General features: G+C 40.7%; 1 annotated feature.

The window, feature by feature from the left end:
• Positions 21435-21484: an enhancer, noted in NCBI's record as "active region_6255". NCBI's record gives its function as "activates an Ori minimal core promoter by ATAC-STARR-seq in GM12878 lymphoblastoid cells {active_cell/tissue: GM12878}" and the evidence as "EXISTENCE:reporter gene assay evidence [ECO:0000049][PMID:35858748]".

The raw sequence follows: 21484 nt of genomic DNA, 5'->3' as shown, positions 1-21484 counted from the left end.
TTATTCTCTTATCTGGCCCCACCCACATCCTGCTGATTGGTAGAGCAGAGTGGTCTGTTTTGACAGGGCGCTGATTGGTGCGTTTACAATCCCTGAGCTAGACAAAAAGGTTCTCCACCTCCCCACCAGATTAGCTAGACACAGAGTGTGGACACAAAGGTTCTCCAAGGCCCCACCAGAGTAGCTAGATACAGTGTCAACTGGTGCATTCACAAACCCTGAGCTAGACACAGGGTGCTGATTGGTGCGTTTACAAACTTTGAGCTAGATAGAGTGCCAATTGGTATATTTACAATCCCTGAGCTAGACATAAAGGTTCTCCAAGGCCCCACCAGAGTAGCTAGATACAGAGTGTCCATTGGTGCATTCACAAACCCTGAGCTAGATACCAAGTACTGATTGGGGTATTTACAATCCCTGGGCTAGACATAAAGGTTCTCCACGTCCCCACCAGACTCAGGTGCCCAGCTGGCTTCACCCAGTGGATCCCTCACCAGGACTGGAGGTGGAGCTGCCTGCCAGTCCCGTGCAGTGTGCCCACACTCCTCAGCCTTTGGGTGGTCGATGGGACTGGGTGCCATGGAGCAGGGGGCAGCGCTCATCGGGGAGGCTCGGGCCTCACGGGAGCCCATGGAGGAGGTGGGAGGCTCAGGCATGGCAGCCTGCAGGTCCCAAGCCCTGCCCCGTGGGCAGCTAAGGCCCAGTGAGAAATCGAGGGCAGCGCCGGTGGGCTGGCACTGCTGGGGGACCCAGTACACCCTCCGCAGCCACTGGCCCAGGTGCTAAGCCCCTCATTGCCCGGGGCCGACAGGGCCGGCCAGCTGCTCAGAGTGCAGGGCCCGCCAAGCCCATGCCCACCCGGAACTCCAGCTGGCCCGCAAGGGCGGTGCGCAGCCCCGGTTCCCACTGGCGTCTCTCCCTCCACACCTCCCTGCAAGCTGAGAGAGCAGGCTCCGGCCTTGGCCAGCCCAGAAAGGGGCTCCCACAGTGCAGCAGTGGGCTGAAGGGCTCCTCAAGTGCTGCCAAAGTGGTAGCCCAGGCAGAGGAGGCACAGAGAGCGAGCGAGGGCTGTGAGGACTACCAGCACGCTGTCACCTCTCAATAAGGAAGATGAGAGTAGAAATCAATGAAATTAAACACAGAAAAACAAAAATGTTAACAAAACAAAAACCTGGTTATTTCAAAAGATTAATAAAATTGACAAACCTGTAGCAAGATTTACAAAGAAAACAAGGAAAGAAAACACAAATTACTAATATCAGGAATGAAACAGGCGATATCACTAAAAATCCTGCAAACATCAAAAAATAATAAGTGAACACTACAAACAATTATATACACATTAATCTGACAACTTAGATGGTATGAACTAATTCTGCAAATAACACAAACTACCACAACTCATGCAATATGAAATAGATAATTCAAAAAACCCCATGACTCCTAAGGAAATTGAATTAGTAATTTTACAACTTTCAGAAAAGAAAGCTCCAGACCCGATGGTTTCACTGGAGAATTATACCAAATATTTAAAGAAGAGCAAACACCAATTGTATACAATCTATTGCAGAAATAGAAGAGAAAAGGGTACTTCTCTATTCATTTTATGAAGCTAATATTGCTCTGATACCAAATCCAGAATAGGACAGTCCAAAAAAGAAAAACACAGACCAATATCCCTCTTTAATATACATGTAGAAGTCCTTAACAAAATATTAACAAATAGAATTCAACAAAATAGAAAAAGAATTCTACATTATGTCCAAGTGGAGTTTATTCCAAAGATGCAAGGAGAATTCAACATTTTTTAACATTTCACAGATTTATTCATTTATTTTTATAAATTGTGTGAATTAATTTTTTTTACATGAATAAGTTTTTTAGTGGTGATTTCTGAGTTTCTGGTGCACCCATCACCAGAGCAGTGTACACTGTACCCAGTGTGTAGTCTTTTATCTCTCACCCCCGTCCCACCCTTTCCCCTGAGTCCCCAAAGTCCATTGTATCATTCTTATGCCTTTGCATCCTCATAGTTTAGCTCCCACTTATAAGTGAGAACATACAATGTTTGGTTTTCCATTCTTTTTTTTTTTTGAGATGGAGTCTCACTCTGTCGCCCAGGCTGGAGGGCAGTGGCTCCATCTCGGCTCACTGCAAGCTCCGCCTCCCGGGTTCACGCCATTCTCCTGCCTCAGCCTCCCAAGTAGCTGGGACTACAGGTGCCCGCCACCATGCCAGGCTAATTTGTTGTATTTTTAGTAGAGATGGGGTTTCACCGTGTTAGCCAGGATGGTCTTGATCTCCTGACCTTGTGATCTGCCCGCCTCGGCCTCCCAAAGTGCTGGGATTACAGGTGTAAGCCACTGGACCTGGCCTGGTTTTCCATTCTTGAGTTACTTCACTTAGAATAATGGTCTCCAGTTCCATCCAGGTTGCTGAAAATGCCATTATTTCATTCGTATTTATGCCTGAGTAGTGCAAAGTCAACATCTGAAAGTCAATCAGTGTAATCCATCATATTAACAAGCTAACAAAGAAAAAATTATCTGCTCGTATCAACTGATGCAGAAAAAAAATTTGACAAAATTCAACGCCCATTTATTGTAAAAACAAATACCGAAAGCGCTTAGAAAACCAGGAATGGTGGAGACTTCCTCAACTTAATAAAGAGCATCCACAAAACCCCTGCAGCTAACATCATACTTAATAATCAAAGTTTGAATGCATTCCTTCTAAGATTGGGAACAAGGCAAATATGTCCACTCTCACCACTCTTATTTGGCATAGTGCTGGAAGTTCTAGACTGTGCAATTAGGTAAGAAAAGAAGATAAAAACACGCAAATTGGAACAGAATAAATAAAATTGTTTATATTTGAAGACAACATAATTATTTACATAGAAAATCCCAAGGAATATATAAAAACATTCATAGAACTAATAAATGAGTTCAGTGACATCTCAGGATACAAGATAAACATACAAATAGTAACCATTGTATTTCTATGCACTACCAAAGAACACATGTACACCAAAATTTAAAATAAAATAACATTGGTTGGGCACAGTGGCTCATGCCTCTAATCCCAGCACTTTGGGAGACCAAGGTGGGCAGATCACCATGTCAGGAGATCAAGACTGTCTGGCCAACATGGTGAAACCCCATCTCTACTAAAAATACAAAAATTAGTTGGGCGTGGTGGCACGTGCCTGTAGTCCCAGCTACTCGGGAGGCTGAGGCAGGAGAATTGCTTGAATTCAGAAGGGGAAGGCTGCAGTGAGCCAAGATCACACCACCGCACTCCAGCCTGGGTAACAGAGTGAGACTCTGTCTCAAAAAACACAAAACAAACAAACAAACAAAACATTTATAGTAGTTCAGAAAAAAATAAAATACCTAGGCGTAAACCTAGTAACTCATGTATAGGAAACTTGCAAATGAAAAGTTATGTAATAGTGCTGAAAGAAATCAAAGATCTATATAAATAGAAAGATGTACCATGCTCCTGGAAAACTCAATGTAGTAAAGACGTCAGTTTTCTCCAAATTTATGTATAGGTTTAATCTGATTTCTATCAAAATCTCAGGACAATTTTTTACAGATATAGAGAAGATAAGTCTAAAATTTATATAAAAAGGCAAAGGAACCATGATAGTTCAAATATTTTGAAAAAATAGAATGAAGTGGGAATAATCAGTCTTCCTGTTTTCAAGAATTATTATGTAGCTACATTAATCAAGACTGTGTGGCATTGATGGAAGGATAGACACATAGATCATGAAAAAGGAATAGACCCACACAAATATGCCCAACTGATTTTCAACAAAGTGCGAAAGCAATTCAATGGAGGAAATACAGCCTTTTTAACAGATGGTGCTGGAGTAATTAGATAATCCAAAGGCAAAAACATAAACCTTGACCTAACTGTCACATCTTAATAAAAAGGTAATTCAAAATGGATCACTTGCCTTAAATGTAAAACCTGAAACTGTAAAAAATTTTGAAAACAAAAACATATCAAATATTCGGGATCTTGGACTAGGCAAAAGTTCATAGACTTGACACAAAAACATAATCAATACAAGGGAAAACTGATAAATTAGAATTCATCACAATTAAAAACTTTCCGGTCGGGCGTGGTGGCTCACACCTGTAATCCCAGCACCTTGGGAGGCTGAGGCGGGCAGATCACAAGGTCAGGAGTTTGAGACTAGCCTGACCAACATGGTGAAACGCTGTCTCTACTAAAAATACAAAAATTAGGCAGGTGTGGTGGTGCGCGCCTGTAATCCCAACTACTCAGGAGGCTAGGCAGGAGAATCGCTTGAACCCCGGAGGCAGAGGATGCAGTGAGCCGAGATAATACCACTGCACTCCAGCCTGGGTGACAGAGTGAGACTCCGTCTCCAAAAAAAACAACTTTCTATGCAAAAGATCCAGTTAAAAAGTTGATAAGACAGGCGACTGGAGAAAACCTTTGCAAAACCACACAGTCCTAATATTAGCATTAATGTCTACACTATTAAGAAATCTTACAACTCTACATTAAAAAAACAAACAATCCAATTAGAAAGCAGGCAAAAGACATGAAGAGGCATTTCATTGAAGAGGATACACACATGGCAAATAAGCAAATGAAATGATGTTCAACATCATTAGCCACCAAGGAAATGCAAATTAAAACCATAATGAGATACCACTATGTACCTGTTAGAACGGCTAAAATTAAAAAATCATGATAGCAGCAATTGCTGGAGAGGATGAAGAGAAACTAGATTATTCATACTTCGCTGTTTGGAATGTAAAATGGTAGAGTCCAGAAAACATTTTGGCAGCTTCTTAAAAAACTAGACATGCAACTACTATATGACTCAGAAATTACACTGTCAGGCATTTTTTCCAGAGTAATGAAAACTTGTGTTCACACAAAGACCTGTGCATTAATGTTTATAGCAATTTTATTCACAATGGCCCCAAGCTAGAAGCAATCTATCAGATGGCCTTCAACTGTACATGTTTAAACAAACTGTAGGACATTCATACCAAGAAATACTGCTCAGCAACAAAAAAGAACAAACTATTGACACATGCAACAACCTAGATGAATCTCAGAGAATTATGCTGAGTGATTAGAGCCAATCTCAAAATTACATATTGTATGATTCCATTTGCATGACATTCTTAAAATAACAAAATTATAGAATAAGGAGCAGATTAGTAGCTGCCAGGGGTTAAGGAGGGGATGTAGGTGAGAGGCAAGAGGATGTGGTTATAAAAGAGCAACATAAAAGATCTCCATGGAAAGGCAGGACTGGTGGTTCATGCCTGTGGTCCTAGCTACTGAGGAGGCTGAGGTGAGAGGATCACTTGAACCTGGGAGGTTGAGGTTGCAGTGAGTCATCATTGTGCCTCTGCACTCCAGCCTGGGCAACAGAGGGAGACCCTGTCTCAGAAAAACCTTAATTAAAAAATTCTCTGTAATATATAAATAATTCACAATAAAGTGCATTATTTAAATATTATAGTGTACACCATGGACTACTATGCAGCCATAAAAAGGAATGAGATCGTGTCCTTTGCAGGCACATGGTTGGAGTTGGAAATCATTATCTTCAGCATACTAACACAGGAAGGGTAAACCAAACACCATGTGTTCTCACTTACAAGCGGGAGTTGAATTATGAGAACACATGGAAGGGAACGACACATTCTGGGGCCTCTCAGAGCAGGGTGTGGTTGGAGGAGCATCAGGAAAAATAGCTAATGGATGTTGGGCTTAATACCCAGGTGATGGGATGATCTGTGCAGCAAACCACCATGGCATACATTTACCTGTGTAACAAACCTGCACATCCTGCACGTGTACCCCTGAACTTAAAATACAAGTTGAAGAAAAAAAATATTATGGTGATATGCTTTGTGCCAGGCCATACTCCTGGGCTCAATCCTTAACATTTTAATACTCCTCACCATCAGCTGGGGATGCAGCCTGGACTATGACTGTTACAATGAGAAGGAGCAAAATCTGAGCAATTCTGGGAAGCCAAATCACCCAGGATTTGGGGAATAATGGAAGTGAGGGGAGTGGAAAACAGAAGTGCTGACTCTCTAGTTTCAAGTTAGCATGTCTAGAATAATAGAGATCCATTCAACAGCCTTGATGTAGTTGGGAGGTCTTTTTTAGGAAGGAGAATAAGAAGAAATTAGGTCCCCATGTGCTGATTTTTTCTTATTTTTTTCCTCCTTTGACAACTTTCTGAAATAATGCATCCAGTGTGCCCTGAACATAATGGTAAGAGTTTCTTTAAACCCATTAGCCAATTCTCTTAGCAACTTAGGATGTATGTTATAGAGGTGCCATTTTAAAGATATTTCAATGTTTCCAATATATTTGCTTTTTAAAATATCAATAACTTATTTCACACAATTTCCCTTGCTTATTTTCCTGATATTTTTAAAGCCAAGGGCAGATTTTAACCACAATGTTGTACCTCTGAGGTTTCCAATCATAGCATCATGCTGTTCACCTGTTTCTTTTTGGGGGGCTGTTATCTCTTCTCATGTAGATGAATTAGGAAGAACTCTTCTTTTAAGAATTTTTGGCCATTATTAACAATCTCCCTTTTTCCTTTATTTTTTTAAATTAATTAATTAGGTTTTTTGTTTTGTTTTGTTTTGTTTTTTTGAGATGGAGTCTCTCTCTGTCACCCAGGCTGGAGTGCAGTGGCATGATCTTGGTTCACTGCAACCTCCACTTCCTGAGTTCAAGCGATTCTCCTGCCTCAGCCTCTTGAGTAACTGGGATTATAGGTGTGTGCCATCTCACCCGGCTAATTTTTGTATTTTTAGTAGAGACAGGGTTTTGTCATGTTGGCCAGGCTGGTCTCAAACTCCTGACCTCAGGTGACATACCCACCTTGGCTTCCCAAAGTCCTGGGATTACAGGCGTGAGCGACCATGCCTGGTCTATTTTTTATTTTGAAATGCTCTCACTCCATTCCCCAGGCTGGAGTGCAGTGGTGTGATCATGGCTTACTGCACCTTGACCTCCTGGACTCAAGCAATCCTCCCACCTTGACCTTCCAAGTAACTGGATCTACAGGCAAGGGCCATCGCATCCAGCTAATTTTTTAAATTATTTTTTAGAGATGGAGTCCTGCTATGTTGCCCGGCTGGTCTTGAATTCCTGGCCTCAAGCAATCCTCTTGCTTTGGCCTCCCAAAAGGCTGGGATTACAGGCATGAGCCACTACACCTGGGCAGCTTCTGGTTTTATATCTTTCTTCCACATTTCTGTCAAACTATAATCTTGCTTTGCCTCTCCTTTATTTTTTATTTCAACAATGAAAGATTTTGCTGATTCCTTCTATTTCCACACTGAAAAAGTATTAGTATTTATTATTATTTTTACTTCTTGCCCTTGAGAATAACATGCATACATATGTGTGTGGTGAATATATCCATATAATATATAATATACATTATATGTACATCTTATATATGCATTTTATATATACAAAGTGCACTATGTAAAATATATATAATATATACATATTGCACTTTTCTCTTTTTCTAAATCTCCTTAGAACTAGATGTTTCATATTAAATATCTTGTACAAAACAAATCTCAAAATCATTTTTTCACTAAAATGAAGGATGCCAGAGTGATTATATAGAGCTTTCATTCCTATTCTCAAGTGCTTAGAGAGAGGCCTCTTCTGAACAGCAATGAAATTCAGAAATCTTTGGGATTAAGATGAGGTTTCTGCACAGTCCTGTAGCTGGACCACAGACTCTGCTGTGTACTGAGAGTCTTGTATCTTAATTGTCTGCCCAACCAGTACCCGTCATTAGCACTGATGTGTGTTGGGGCAGTGCCTGTTACAGCTGAAGTGCTCTTGTCCTTTTTCCTAATGAGGCAACCTCAGCATGAAATAGTCTTGCATCACCATCTCTCAAGCTGTAGGAACTCTGACGTATTCATGAGATCTGACTTTGTTTCCACAGAGCTGACCACTGATACAGAGACCAAAATCCCACTCAAATCAACGTAAGTATAGAGCTTATTTTATTTTTAATTACAGAGACAGGGTCTCGCTGTCGCCCAGGCTGGAGTGCAGTGGCGCACTCACAGTTCACTGTAGCCTCAAAATCCTGAGCTTCAGTGATCCTCCCTCTCCGGCTTCCCAAGTAGCTGGGACCACAGGCACACACCACCATACCTGGCTAATGTTTTTTATTTTTGGTACAGAGTCTCGCTGTGTTGGCCAGGCTGGTCTTGAACTCCTGGGCTCAAGTAATCCTCCTGCCTCAGCCTCCTAAAGCACTGGGATTACAGGCATGAGCCACCGTACCCAGCCTAAAGAGCTTATTTTAGAATCCAGAAAGCTTCTGGAATCCAAGGTAAGCAGGGCCCCATGACAGGAACTGGAAACCAGAAAGGTTGCAGCTAAGGTGCTCTCCAGGGTGTCCTCTCTCCTTTGCTTTTTCTGTCCCTTTCTCTCTGGAAACACAAGGCCCTCATATGCATTTTCTCTTGTGCATTCTTTCTCTCTCTCCCTATCTCATTCTCATTCTCTTTCTCTGTAGGCCTATAGTTCAAAATGTCCGCCAGATCACTTGAGGTCAGGAGTTTAAGACCAGCCTGGCCAACATGGTGAAACCCTGTTTCTATTAAAAATACAAAAATTGGCGGGGTGTGGTGGTGTGTGCATGTAATCCCAGCTGCTCGGGAGGCTGAGGCAGGAGAATCACTTGAACCCGGAAGGCGGAGGTTGCAGTGAGCCGAGAACCCAGAAAGCAGAGGATGCACTGCACTCCAGCCTGGGCAACAGAGCAAGAATCCGTCTAAAAAAAAAAGTCCGCCAGCCACATTTCATCATTGCCTTTCTGAACATTTTTCTTCATTTCTTGGAGTTTCAATTCCAAATCCCTGATACCCAAAGAAATTTAGGCCTGAGACTCACATTTCTGGGAAACCTATAGGTAGGCCCCTTCCCTGGGTCTCATGAATGATCCGCTGGGATCTAGGGCTCCTTACTTACCTACAACGGGGAGGGGGTGGGGGGTAAGATAAGATTCTCTGAAGAAAGATGGGTTGATTATTTAAAATATATGTATACTCTCTAAGGATATTTGTTTGTTTATCACATCCTAGTAATACTTTTCAATAAAGCTCAACATTTACTGTGGAGGGAGAAGTTGCTTCCTCACAATTCGGCCTGAGTCAGATGGCGACCCATTACTCCCCCATGCAGCCAAGTCTGTGGGAGCTGCTATGTAACTGCGAGGATTACAGTATTTGGGGAGTTAAGGTACTGGAAAGAGGAATGGGTTGATGGTTGAGAATTCGATCCTTACATCTGAGTGCTGATAAGATCCTAACCCACTGTATGACCTTGGACAAAACAAATAACTTTCTGAGCTTATTTTTTTCTAATTTGTTCAATGTGGAGGCTGGTGTAAATCAGTGGTTCCCAGTTTTTTAGAGTATGAAAACTCTTCTTAATTTCAAAAAATCATGAATACCACATTATAATGGTGTCAATTTCATTGCCCACTGAAAGGAAAAATACCTATAAATACATACGGGTTCTAAGGCTCTTCTAATAACTCCAGAGTCTCTGTGAAATGCTACAGGCTAGAATCATTGATCTAGCTGACATTGAACCCCTTCTGGTGATGATAATCTGGGGCTCAAGTCAGGGGAATTGGGACTCCTTAGAAAACATTCACTTATTCAAAAGGAAAGCTAAATATCGGATCCAAGAACAGCGCTAGAAGTTTTCAAAAGAGATGAAGTAAGGCAGATTCAAGGATCTAAGAATCTGAGCTGAGAAAGAACAGAAGGAAGAATGAACACTAACAACAGTGGAAGGCTGTGGGGCAGCGTGTCGGGAAGCAGAGTTATACAGTGCGGCTCATGCCAGCAAGAGGGTCAGATGCCATGATAACTAAGAAAAGGAAGGCAGAGGGGGAGGTGATTTTGACTCTCAGGCAGGGTGGGCCACCTCTTCTTGACCTAAATATGTTATATAGCAGCATATTAAATATAAAATACTAATATAATATAATTAATAATACACGTTATATTGAATAATACTCACATATAAAACTACCAAGACAGTGTATGTGCATGGTTCATAGTAGGCTAGTTTTTCTCTCCCCTCCTTTGTTACCTTAACATTGAAGTGTTACTTAAAGCCTTCTATTTAAAATTCTGTAAAGATTAGTACCATCTGAGTTGACATCAAGAAGATAGTAGCAATGATTTAGGGTAATTTCCGTGATGTACATACAAGAGTTATGCCCACAGAAAAATTTATTTTTATGACTCATTCAAGCACTGTCCCTTTTGTGTTTTTCAATACTTTGTTTGCTTCATATCAAAAAAAGAGACTGATTCTCAAAGACATTCTGTCTTATAGCATTCTTCCTAAAGTTTTTAGGAGATCTTAACCTGACAGTTTATATTTCCCAGAGTTAAACACATATTCGAGAATTAGGTTGAGAATATAAGGTCAAATTTCGACTCAACATTCATCAAGCTGCACTAAGAAGCAAGACAGGAAAATAAGAAAAATACCTGAAAAATTTTACAGGTTATTAATTGTGTTAGTTTATTTTGCTTTTCTATAAAGGAATACCTGAGACTGGGTAATTTATAAAGAAAAGTGGTAGGAGTTGCCACACTCTTTTTTTTTTTTTTTTTTGAAATGAAATCTCTCTCTTGTCCCCCAGTCTGGAGTGCAATGGGGCAATCTCTGCTCACTGCAACCTCCGCCTAGGGTTCAAGCAATTCTCCTGCCTCAGCCTCCTGAGTAGCTGGGATTACAGGTGTGCACCACCACACACACCTAATTTTTTGTATTTTAAGTAGAGACGGAGGTTTCACCATGTTGGCCAGGCTGGTCTCGAACTCCTGACCTCAGGTGATACGCCCGCCTCAGCCTCCCAAAGTGTTGGGATTACAGGTGTGAGCCACCGCACTCAGCACCACACTCTTTTAAACAACCAGATCTTGTGTGAACTCAGAGTGAGAACTCACTCATTACCATGGGGAGAGCACCAAGCCATTTATGAAGGATCCACCCCCATGACTCAAACAGCTCCCACCAGGCCACACCTCCAGCATTGGGGATTACATTTCAACATGAGATTTGAGGGAACAAAACTTCGAAATTATACCATTAATTCTCAGAATCTTTTTATTATTACTATTTTGATTTCTATATTCTAGCAAACATATCCTTTGGAGAATAGAAACTCCCTCCACTCCTCCAATAAATTCAACTGTAGAAGCTTTAAGAAAAACAGAAATCTTATAAGAAAGTATTGGTCCAAATATAAATCAAACTAAAATGTTGCAGTGTTTCTAGCAATTTATAGTGTGTAAGAAAAAATAGACCCTTCAAGTGTGTTGACAGAGAAATTATATTTCATTTTTTAACGAATCAAATAGTATTATTTGATTCTTCAGTGAATAATGTTCATATATTCATAGCCTGTGAATAATATTAACACATTCTGTTTTTAGTTTTCAGAATCAATCTATAGACAAAGTATGTTTAAGGGACAGAATGTAAATGTTTTAAATCTAAACATTGAAAATTTATTATTATTTTTAATTTTCACTTAATAATTTTACATATTTATGGGGTACACTGTGATTTTCCATACAAGTATAAAATATGTAATAATAAAATCAGGGTAATTAGCATATCTATCACCTCAAACATTAATCATTTCTTTGTGTTGAGAACATTTAAAATCTACTCTTCTAGCTACTTGAAAATATATAGTAAATTGTTGTGATTATAGTCCTGCTATAATGGTATAGAAAACTAGAACTTATTCCTTCTAGCTGTACTTTTGCATCCATCAACTAACCTCTAGCTATTCTCCACTCATTCTACCCTTTCCAGCCTCTAGTAACCACTAATCTACTCTATACTTCCATGAGATCAACTTTTTTAGCTTCTGTATATGAGTGAGAACATGTTGTATTTATGTGCCTGTTCCTGGCTTGTTTCACTTAACATAATATCCTCCAGGCTCATCCATGTTTCCTCAAATGACAGAACTTTGTTCTTTTTTTATAGCTTTGTTCTTTTTTATATTCCATTGTGTATATATACTGCATTTTCTTTTTTCTTTTTGAGATGGAGTCTCGCTCTGTCTCCAGGCTGGAGTGCAGTGGCATGATCTCGGCTCACTGCAACCTCCGCCTCTCGGGTTCGAGTGATTCTTCTGCCTCAGCCTCCCGAGTAGCTGGGACTACAGACGTGCACCACCATGCCCAGCTAATTTTTGTATTTTTAGTAGAGACGGGGTTTCACCATGTTGGTCAGGATGGTCTTGATCTCTTGACCTCATGATCTGCCCGCCTTGGCCTCCCAAAGTGCTAGGATTACAGGCGTGAGCCATGCATTTTCTTTATTCACTCATTTGTTGCTGGGCACTGAGGTTGATTCCATATCTTGGTTATTGTGAATAATGCTGTAATAAACATGGGAGTGCCTATCTCTTTGACATACTGATTTCCTTTCCTTTGGATAAATACCCAGTAGTGGGATTGCTGGATCATATGGTAGTTCTATTTGTAGTTTTTTGAGGAACCTCTATACTGTTTTCCGTAATGGCTGTCTAGAAGGCAGAAGTCAGCTCTTTTGTGGAGGTTCCTCAAATGTCAGTATCTGTAGGTCTTTACCGTGGGATGGTTCTATTTTTCTAGAAAAGGATCTTCTAATATTTTGCCTAAAGGATTTAAGCCAGGTATTGCCAGTGTTCTATAACAAGGGATAAAGATTTGGAATTGGAACTCCAAGAGATGAAGAAAAGTGGTCAGGAGGGTGATATGATGTAATGTTGGGGCTGGCAGACATTGGTTGGTGAACCATGTTCAAGCATGCAGTCAGCATAGAACCATCCAAAATTCAAGAAAACTCTCCAACAGCAAAAAGCAGGAGAAAATAAATAAGTCAGAAAGCTAAAAAATATTAGGGAAATTTTCTAGAATGTAGAGCAATAGTCTTTTTGTCCTACCAAAAGATGTACATAAGAGAGCAAAAATACAGGAGCTCAACATCTGAATAATAGAAGTTCCAGAGAGAATGAACAGAGAAAATAGTGGGGGAAATTGATTAAAGAAACAATTAAGGAAAATTTCCCAAAATAAAGGAAATGTCTCTAGATGAATGAAAAATGAGTCCATCTACCCGGATGTGGTAGCTCATGCCTGTGATCCCAGCCCTTTGGAAGGCCGAGGTGGGTGGGTCACCTGAGGACGGGAGTCCGAGACCAGCCTGGCCAACAAAACCCCATCTCTACAAAAAAATAAAAAAGGTAACCTGGCATGATGGTGTGCACCTGTAGTCCCAGCTACTCGGGAGGCTGAGGCAGGAGAAACTTTTTTTTTTTTGAGACAGAGTCTTGCTCTGTGGCCCAGGCTGAAGTACAATGGCATGATCTTGGCTCACTGCAACCTCCCACTCCTGGGTTCCAGTGATTCTCCTGCCTCAGCCTCCCAAGTAGCTGGGATTACAGGCGTGCACCACCATGCCTAGCTAAATTTTTTTTGTATTTTCAGTAGGGACGAGGTTTCACCATGCTGGCCAGACTGGTCTCAAACTCCTGACCTCAGGTGATCCACTCATCTCAGCCAAAGTGCTGGGATTACAGGTGTGAGCCACTGTGCCTGGACCAGGAGAAACTCTTGAACCCAGGAGGCGGAGGTTGCAGTGAGCTGAGATCGCACCCCTGCACTCCAGCCTGGGCAACAGAGCGAGACTCCATCTCAAAATAATAATAATAATAAATAAATAAATGAAAAACATGTCCATCAAAAAGCCAAATCATTTTGAAATTTCAAAACCCCAGATATAAAGAAAAGATCCCGAAAGCTTCTAGAGAGAAAAAGAAAACCAATTTATGTACAAAGCGCTGGTTCCAAGAATGGCAACATTTGTAGTCCTAACTCTCACAGAGAGTTTTCCTTCTATTTAAGCCTATATTGTTGTTAAACCCCTTTTGCTGAGGGCTCGTCTTCTGAGTTTTATTTCTGAATTCTCCCCTTCACTACCCATTTGCTCTCCTCATTAAAAAATACTCTTACAGAGTTCTATCACATACTCAAAACAGTCTTTTCTCCCCTTACCCTATTTCCAGATCTGACGCTGTGACAGACTAAGTGTATACTGGCCTGGATCTTTCTCCCTTTGCTGGGAGAGCCATTTCTTTAGTCATCATCTGTACTGAGCAGTGGTCAACTGTGAATTTCCTCAGCACATGCCAGCTGAGCTCAGTTACCAGGGTCTCTGCAGAGACTGGCTCCACCTGCCTTTCTGCACCAAGTTGTTGACAACTTCTCTCTTACTCCTTCTTGGAGCCATCTCAGTCCTCTTTGGTGGTCAGAAGGAGATGAAGCTGTCAGTCAGGCAGCAGCTGCCACAACCCACATAATACCAATTCAACCTACAAACACAATCATGAGATTTCTCTTTGCTGGTAACCAGACAATAGGCCCATCCACACTGCAATTCTGTCCAGTTGAGAAGGTGAGGCAACAAAAATCTGCTTAGATTGACAGCAAACACATAAGTATTGTGCCTGAGAAGTTTTTAAGCAGGAAGGCTTGAATTTACATGTTTGTACAAAACCAAAACCCCTTCCTTACTTTGTCTCTCTCTACTCTCTCCATCTTCCCTTTTATTTCCTTAATGATGGTCTTCTAGTTCTACCTACCCTAGGTTCATGTTAGGCTCATAGTACAGGTTCTCTCCTTTATCATTTCATTATTCTATGGAGTTATAGCTGTTCTTGTGTCCTTATGGTCTGCAAATGCCAGAAATTGTTCAAATGGTCACCTCTTGTATCATTTAGCTTCTGCTGCATAACAAATTACCCCAAAACTTAGTGGCTTAATATAACAACCTTTTTTTTTTTTTTATCTCATGATTCTTCAGTCCATTAAGTTAGGCTGGGTTCATCCAAGCAGTTCTGGCCAGGTTGGCTGGGGTTTGGCTGGTTGAGGGGTCTCAACTGAGATCCCTCATCTGTACTTTATGTGGTTTCTCACCTTCCAGCAGGCAATCCTGGGCGTGGTCACATGGTGACGGCATTATTCAAAGAGTGTGCTCTTTGAACACAATATAGGAAGCTGCAAGGCCTCTTGGGGCCTACGCTTGGAACTCATTCAATGCCAGTTCTGTGGTATTCTATTGACCAAAGCATGTGGCAAGGCCATCCCAGATTCAAGGTGACTCTACCCTTTTTTTTTTTTTTTTTTTGGTGAGAAGAAGTCTTGCTCTGTGGCCCAGGCTGGAGTGCAGTGGCAAATCTCGGCTCACTGCAACCTCCACCTCCCGGGTTCCAGCGATTCTCCTGCCTCAGCCTCCTGAGTAGCTGGGACTACAGGTGCATGCCACCTCACCTAACTAATTTTTGTATTTTTTAGTAGAGACAGGGTTTCTCCATGTTGGCCAGGTTGGTCTCGAACTCCTGACCTCAGGTGATCCACCCAGCTGGACTTCCCAAAGTGCTGGTATTACAGGTGTGAGCCACAGCACCCGGCCAACTCTACCTCTTAATGGGAGAAACTACAGAATATTATGGCCATTTTTACAATGTACTGTATTTCAGTAGAGAAAAACTGGGAGTAGGGAAGGAAAAAGATGGACAACTTTTACTTTTCACTTACGGAATTACGTTTTGTTTAAATTTTAAAAATTATGGATGCATATACACTACTTCTACAATAACAATAATGATAACACATTAAAATATGACTCCAAATATTTCTTGTATTATCTTAGTTACACGAGGATAATAATCTAATCCACTGATATTTTGAAGGACCCATGATTTTGAATCAAAACACCTAATTCAGGCTTTGTCTTTGAACCACCTCTAATTATAAGGCTAAATAATGGTAAATTTAATATGAAATCCTCCAGCATGGAGCTTGACACATAGCAAATGTTGGGTAAATCTGAATCTGAATGAGAAGATAGGGGCAAAAAAGATGTATGAATAATATAAAAATAACTTTAAAATCTGTTCTATTTATTTTTTGTTTTGTTTTCTGAGACAAGGTCTTGCTCTGTTACCCAGGCTGGAGTGCAGTGGTGCAATCATAGCTCACTGCAACTCCTGGGCTCAAGGGATCCTCCCACCTCAGCCTCCCAAGTAGCTGGGACCACAGGCACACACCACCAAGCCAGGCTAGTTGTCTTTATTTTTATTTTTAATAGAGACGAGGTCTCCCTGTGATGCCCAGGCTGGTCTTGAACTCCTGAACTTGAGTGATCCTCCTGTATCAGCCTCCCAAAGTGCTGGGATTACAGGCATGAGTCACTGTGCCCAGCCAAAATCTGTTCTATTAATTTAGTGTTTATAAAAACAACTTGCCAGCTTTTATTATGGCAACTTGAACTTTAATGGACAAGAAAAGAGATTTGATTTAACTTCATATACTTGCAGTTTGGACTGTTGGAGAAAATATTAACAGCATGTCCATTGCTGTAATGCAAGCTGGGAATTATAACCTAAGGCAGCATGAAGAGTGTTCTTAAATTCTAGTCCTGCAAGTCACCCATCTAATTAAGAAACCATATATCTTATGATACATGCCAGGAATTCTCCTTAGCTATATCAAGTGGAGCCTTGGGGAGACATCCACAGGAGCTATTTTTCAAAAAACCTTCTTTCTGGCTGGGTGCGGTGGCTCACGCCTGTAATCCCAGCACTTCGGGAGGCCAAGGCGGGCAGGTCACCTGAGGACAGGAGTTCAAGACCAGCCTGGCCAACGTGGTGAAACCCCGTCTGTACTAAAAATACAAAAATTAGCCAGGCATGGTGGCACCTGCCAATAATCCCAGCCACTTGGGAGGCTGAGGCAGGAGAATCAATTGAACCCGGGAGGAGGAGGTGGCAGTGAGGCGAGATCACGCCATTGCACTCCAGCCTGGGCAAAAGAGCGAAACTCCGTCTCAAAACCAAAACCAAAACCAAAACAAACAAACAACAAAACTTCCTTTTTTTAGCAGCTGCAGCACATATTAGCAAGTGGCAGAAAAGTGACCTCTTAATTTTGTTCAATAGACCCCATATTCAGTTTGTTCTTGTGCTTTTACCAGTACTTACTATTTCTCCAAATTAAAAATGGATAAATAGAAGCAATAAAAATATGTTAGAGAAATTCTTGCAGATCTTTTTTGGCTGATTTTCAATCCAGAATATGTTTTCCTAAAGTCTCACAAAGTATTTACAAGAACAGGCCTGCTATTTATTTAATGACCATTCGATGCCATCCTGACCTTTCCCAGGAAGGTCAAAGAGTAGCCTGTTATTTGAATGCCTAATTTAACTGGACAAAGGAAATTGCTTTCATAATTTCTACTTTGGCCTTCCTGATTGAACCAAATGTCAACTTTCCACACAATGTTCCCCAACAAACATTCTTATTCCTAATGCAACCAGATTAGATCAATCTGCATCTGTCTCCATTGTACCCTGGGATTGCATAAACTCTGGATACATATTTATTTTGTGGATTCATTTCCATGTTAATTGGAACGCAGTTTCCTGGAATTTCTTTTCTGAGTATGATAATCTTCTTACAGTCAGCATGATGGAAACAGCTGTGTGCTGTTTACTTTAAGGAGGATGGTGTTCCTTGCTCAGATGATCATTGGATATCCACTTTCTAGATCAAATATTGTATCTCCATTCTTTCTTATAGAATTATTAGAACATGTTAATTTATGGAGGACTTTCAAACTCAATTTTATTAGGCTACTGGTTTGGGGAGAGCATAGTACACAACAAAAATTATTGAAAAGCCATAATATTTAATTAAATCTCTGCTTTCTAAGTAGATTTTTAAAATCAACCTTATTTATTTATTTATTTATTTATTTTTGAAACAGTGTCTTGCTCTGTCACCCAGGCTGGAGTGCAGTGGCACAATCTCGGCTCACTGCAACCTCTGCCTCCTGGGTTCAAGCGATTCTCCTGCCTCAGCCTCCCAAGTAGCTGGGATTATAGGCTCGTGCCACCACGTCCTGCTATTTTTTGTATTTTTAGTAGAGACGGGGGTTCAGCATGTTGGCCAGGCTGGAAATCAACTATTTTTTAATTACAAAAGTTATATATGTAAAGTGCAGAAAATCTGGAAGTTTGACAATCCCACTATTGTTAACATTTTGATGGCTTTCTTTCATAAACACATAATAGATTTTTGTAAGATATTTTTATTCTGAGCAGATAAATACAGTATCAGTCCAAACACTTTTTCACCAGCCATCCGTCTAATCTAACTAAGGAGTTATTAGATGATAAAATAAAGCAGATTATTCAATCCAACATCAAACATGTTCTGAAGATTTACTATGTGCTCCACACTTTCTCCTCTCTGGGATGGGTGAGAAGAGCACAAAAATAAATAAGACACATCCTTGCTTTGTCAACATGATTAGCAACCAAGATAGAGTTGCTTTAGCCTCCACAGGTATATTGCCATTCCAAACACAGTCAGGCTTAATAAATAAAAATAGAATACATATTAGGTAGACAACTCAGTCTCTACCATGTCACCTGAGTTTAGCCATGCATGTCTCTTTAGGGCAACCATTTTATATATAAGAGATGTCTCAGCTTCCCTCCCTGGAAACTCTTCTCTTCCCTCTCTAGGATCAGACACATGCTCTCATCAGTACAGTTAAGGATCAGATGAGAGATGAATTGGGCTTTGTCAATTCCCATTCCCATTGTTGCTTACTATCTTATCAACAAAACTAAAACAAGCTTAAGGAAAAATGTTTCATCTATGTTAATTTTCTCTACTCCTTTTTGTCATAAAAATAAAATAAATTATTTTTCATATTGTCCCTTTCCTGTGTCCTCTTAATCTTTGTTTTTTGCACAAAATTGCAGTATGGTTTACTTTACTTTTGGGGTCCAATCCCAGGCTGAGGTCCTGACCCTTGAAATTCTTGAAAGCAGAGACACTCAACTACTGGCTGTTGTCAGATGCTGTGAGGACCTGAGCAGTTCTGGGTGAAAACCCAGATAGGGAAGTTGTTTCTCCAGTTGATGAACACACTGTAATTCTTATTTGGGACAGAAAAAAAGGTGTAGGAAGATGTTATGACTATGTAACAAATAGAAGCCTGGGCAACACAGGGAGACCACTTCTCTACAAAAATTTTTTAAAAACTCAACTGGGCACGGTGGCTCATGCCTGTAGTCCCAGCTACTCAGGAGGTTGAGTTGGGAGGATTACTTGAGCCTGGGAGGTTGAGGCTGCAGTGATCATGTCACTGTGTCACTGCACTCCAGTCTGGGTGACACAGCAAGAAGACCCTGTCCCCCAAAACAAAACAAAACAAAAACAAACAAACAAACAAAAAACTCAAATAGACCTAGAATGTATTTAAAAGGAAAAGTAGCACCAGTTGGAACTCTGATGGTCAAAAACAAAAACAAAACCCTCATCTGCCTAGGTATACACCCAAAAGAATGAAAACAGAGATTTTAATAGATACTTGAACATCAGTGTTGATAGCAGCATTACTCACCGTAGGCAAAAGATGGGAAACAACCTCACTGCTCTTTGACAGATGAATGGATAAACAAAATGTCATGTAAATATTCATCCTTAAAAATGATGAATTTTTAAAATGATGAATAGTCAGACATGTGCTATAACATGGATGAACCTTGAAAACATCATGCTAAGTGAAATAAGCCAGGCAAGAAGGGACAAATATATGGTTCCACTTATATGGGGTACCTAGAATAGACAAGTTCATAGAGATAGAAAGTTTGATAGAGGTTACCGGGGACTGAGGGACAGGGTGAATGGAAAGTTACTGTATAATGAGCACGGAGTTTGGAATGATGGAAGAGTCCCGGAAATGGATAGTGGTAATGGTTGCATACATTTTGAATGTACTTAATGTCACTGAATTGTGCACTTAAAAGTGGTTACAATGGTTTTATATTATGAATGTTCTCCATCTTAGTACCTATCAACTCTTCCTGCTTGCTACAGGCTTTCCCTTTCTACCCTTAGGCAGGCATGGCTCTCCCTGAGTCAACAATATGCAGCCCCTAGGGTGGCCACAAGCCCAGGATCCCTCCCAGCCTGAAGGAACTGTACTCATATTGCCCTGGGTTGGCAGCCTGGGTTCTCTGCTGAGTTACCCCAAAGTGGTTTCAGGACAGCACAATTATTTATTAAGTAGCTCTGGTGCTGACCTTAAGAAAAAACAGAACAACGAAAGTATTAAGCGTAAAACCTTTCTCTTTTAATGAATGAGTAAATATTCATGTTATTATTCCTAGAAATAAGAACTCTGTCCGCCTGGGTAACATAGTGAGACACCATCTCTACAAAAAAATTAAAAAGCTAGCCAGGCGTGGTGGCATGCGCCTGTAGTCCCAGCTACTTGGGAGGCCTAAGGCAGGAGGATTGCTTGAGCCTGGGAGGTTGAGGCTGCAGTGAGTCATGGTCATGCCACTGCCCTCCAGCCTGGGTGATGCAGCAAGACCTTGTCTCAAAAAAGAAAAAAAAAAAGGAAGAAAGAAAAGAAAAGAAAAAAGAACTCTGAAGACCTTGGGAAAGAATGGTACTTAGTAGTTAGAGTTCTGTATATAAGGAAAATATTTCCAAATGCTCTATGAGGTCTGGAAAGTTATTTCACTAAGTACATTCAAAGTTGCAACAGGAGATCATTTTTTGCTGGATGGTTTTAATAATAATATACAGTGCCCCATGTATAAAGAGCTGTAGCTAATGGCAGCCATAAGGTATGTAAGCACAAAAGGGACATGTGTTTATGCTGAAGGTTTTGATTTCAAAAATAAGGCCATGTTTTAAGTTATTAGAGAGCACGATTCTTATACTATCAAGGTATTACAATGCTTTGGAGATGTCCATTAATTTATGGGCTTTTGGATTCCTGTAAGTGCTTACTTCATAATTCCTGGGTCTATATTTGCCTTGAATATCCATCAATATTCCACAAGTACTTGCTGCAACCCTATCCTCCCTACAAGCTCCCCCAGTACAAACATACAAAATTGATAAGACTCAAGGTCCTCTCTTGCCACAATCAGATCATTAACCTGCGCTGCCAACCAGAGTTTCATGGTTCTTTATTTATTTATTCATTTATAATATCTAGGATTATAGTCTAAGAAGCAGGATTCTCCAAGGAAAATGGTCACACACACACACACACACACACTCTTACATTATCACTGGCTCAGCCGGCTGGGATTAGACTTTAACTCAGGCCCTTTATTAAAATGAAGTTGCAAAAGGCCAATTTCACTTCCTCTTTCCAAGAGGTGTGAGATTCTTGCCACATCCCCAGGCCCCTACATGTTCTGTAGGTAGAAAGAAGCAAAATAATCTCCAATATGTGCAAAGTTCAGAAATCAGGGCTGCCAGAAGACAGACTGGCTATGATGGACTGTCAT

Source organism: Homo sapiens, chromosome 12, assembly GCF_000001405.40.
Source record: "Homo sapiens chromosome 12, GRCh38.p14 Primary Assembly".
Classification (NCBI taxonomy): domain Eukaryota; kingdom Metazoa; phylum Chordata; class Mammalia; order Primates; family Hominidae; genus Homo; species Homo sapiens.
This window is presented reverse-complemented; position numbering and strand designations above follow the sequence as displayed.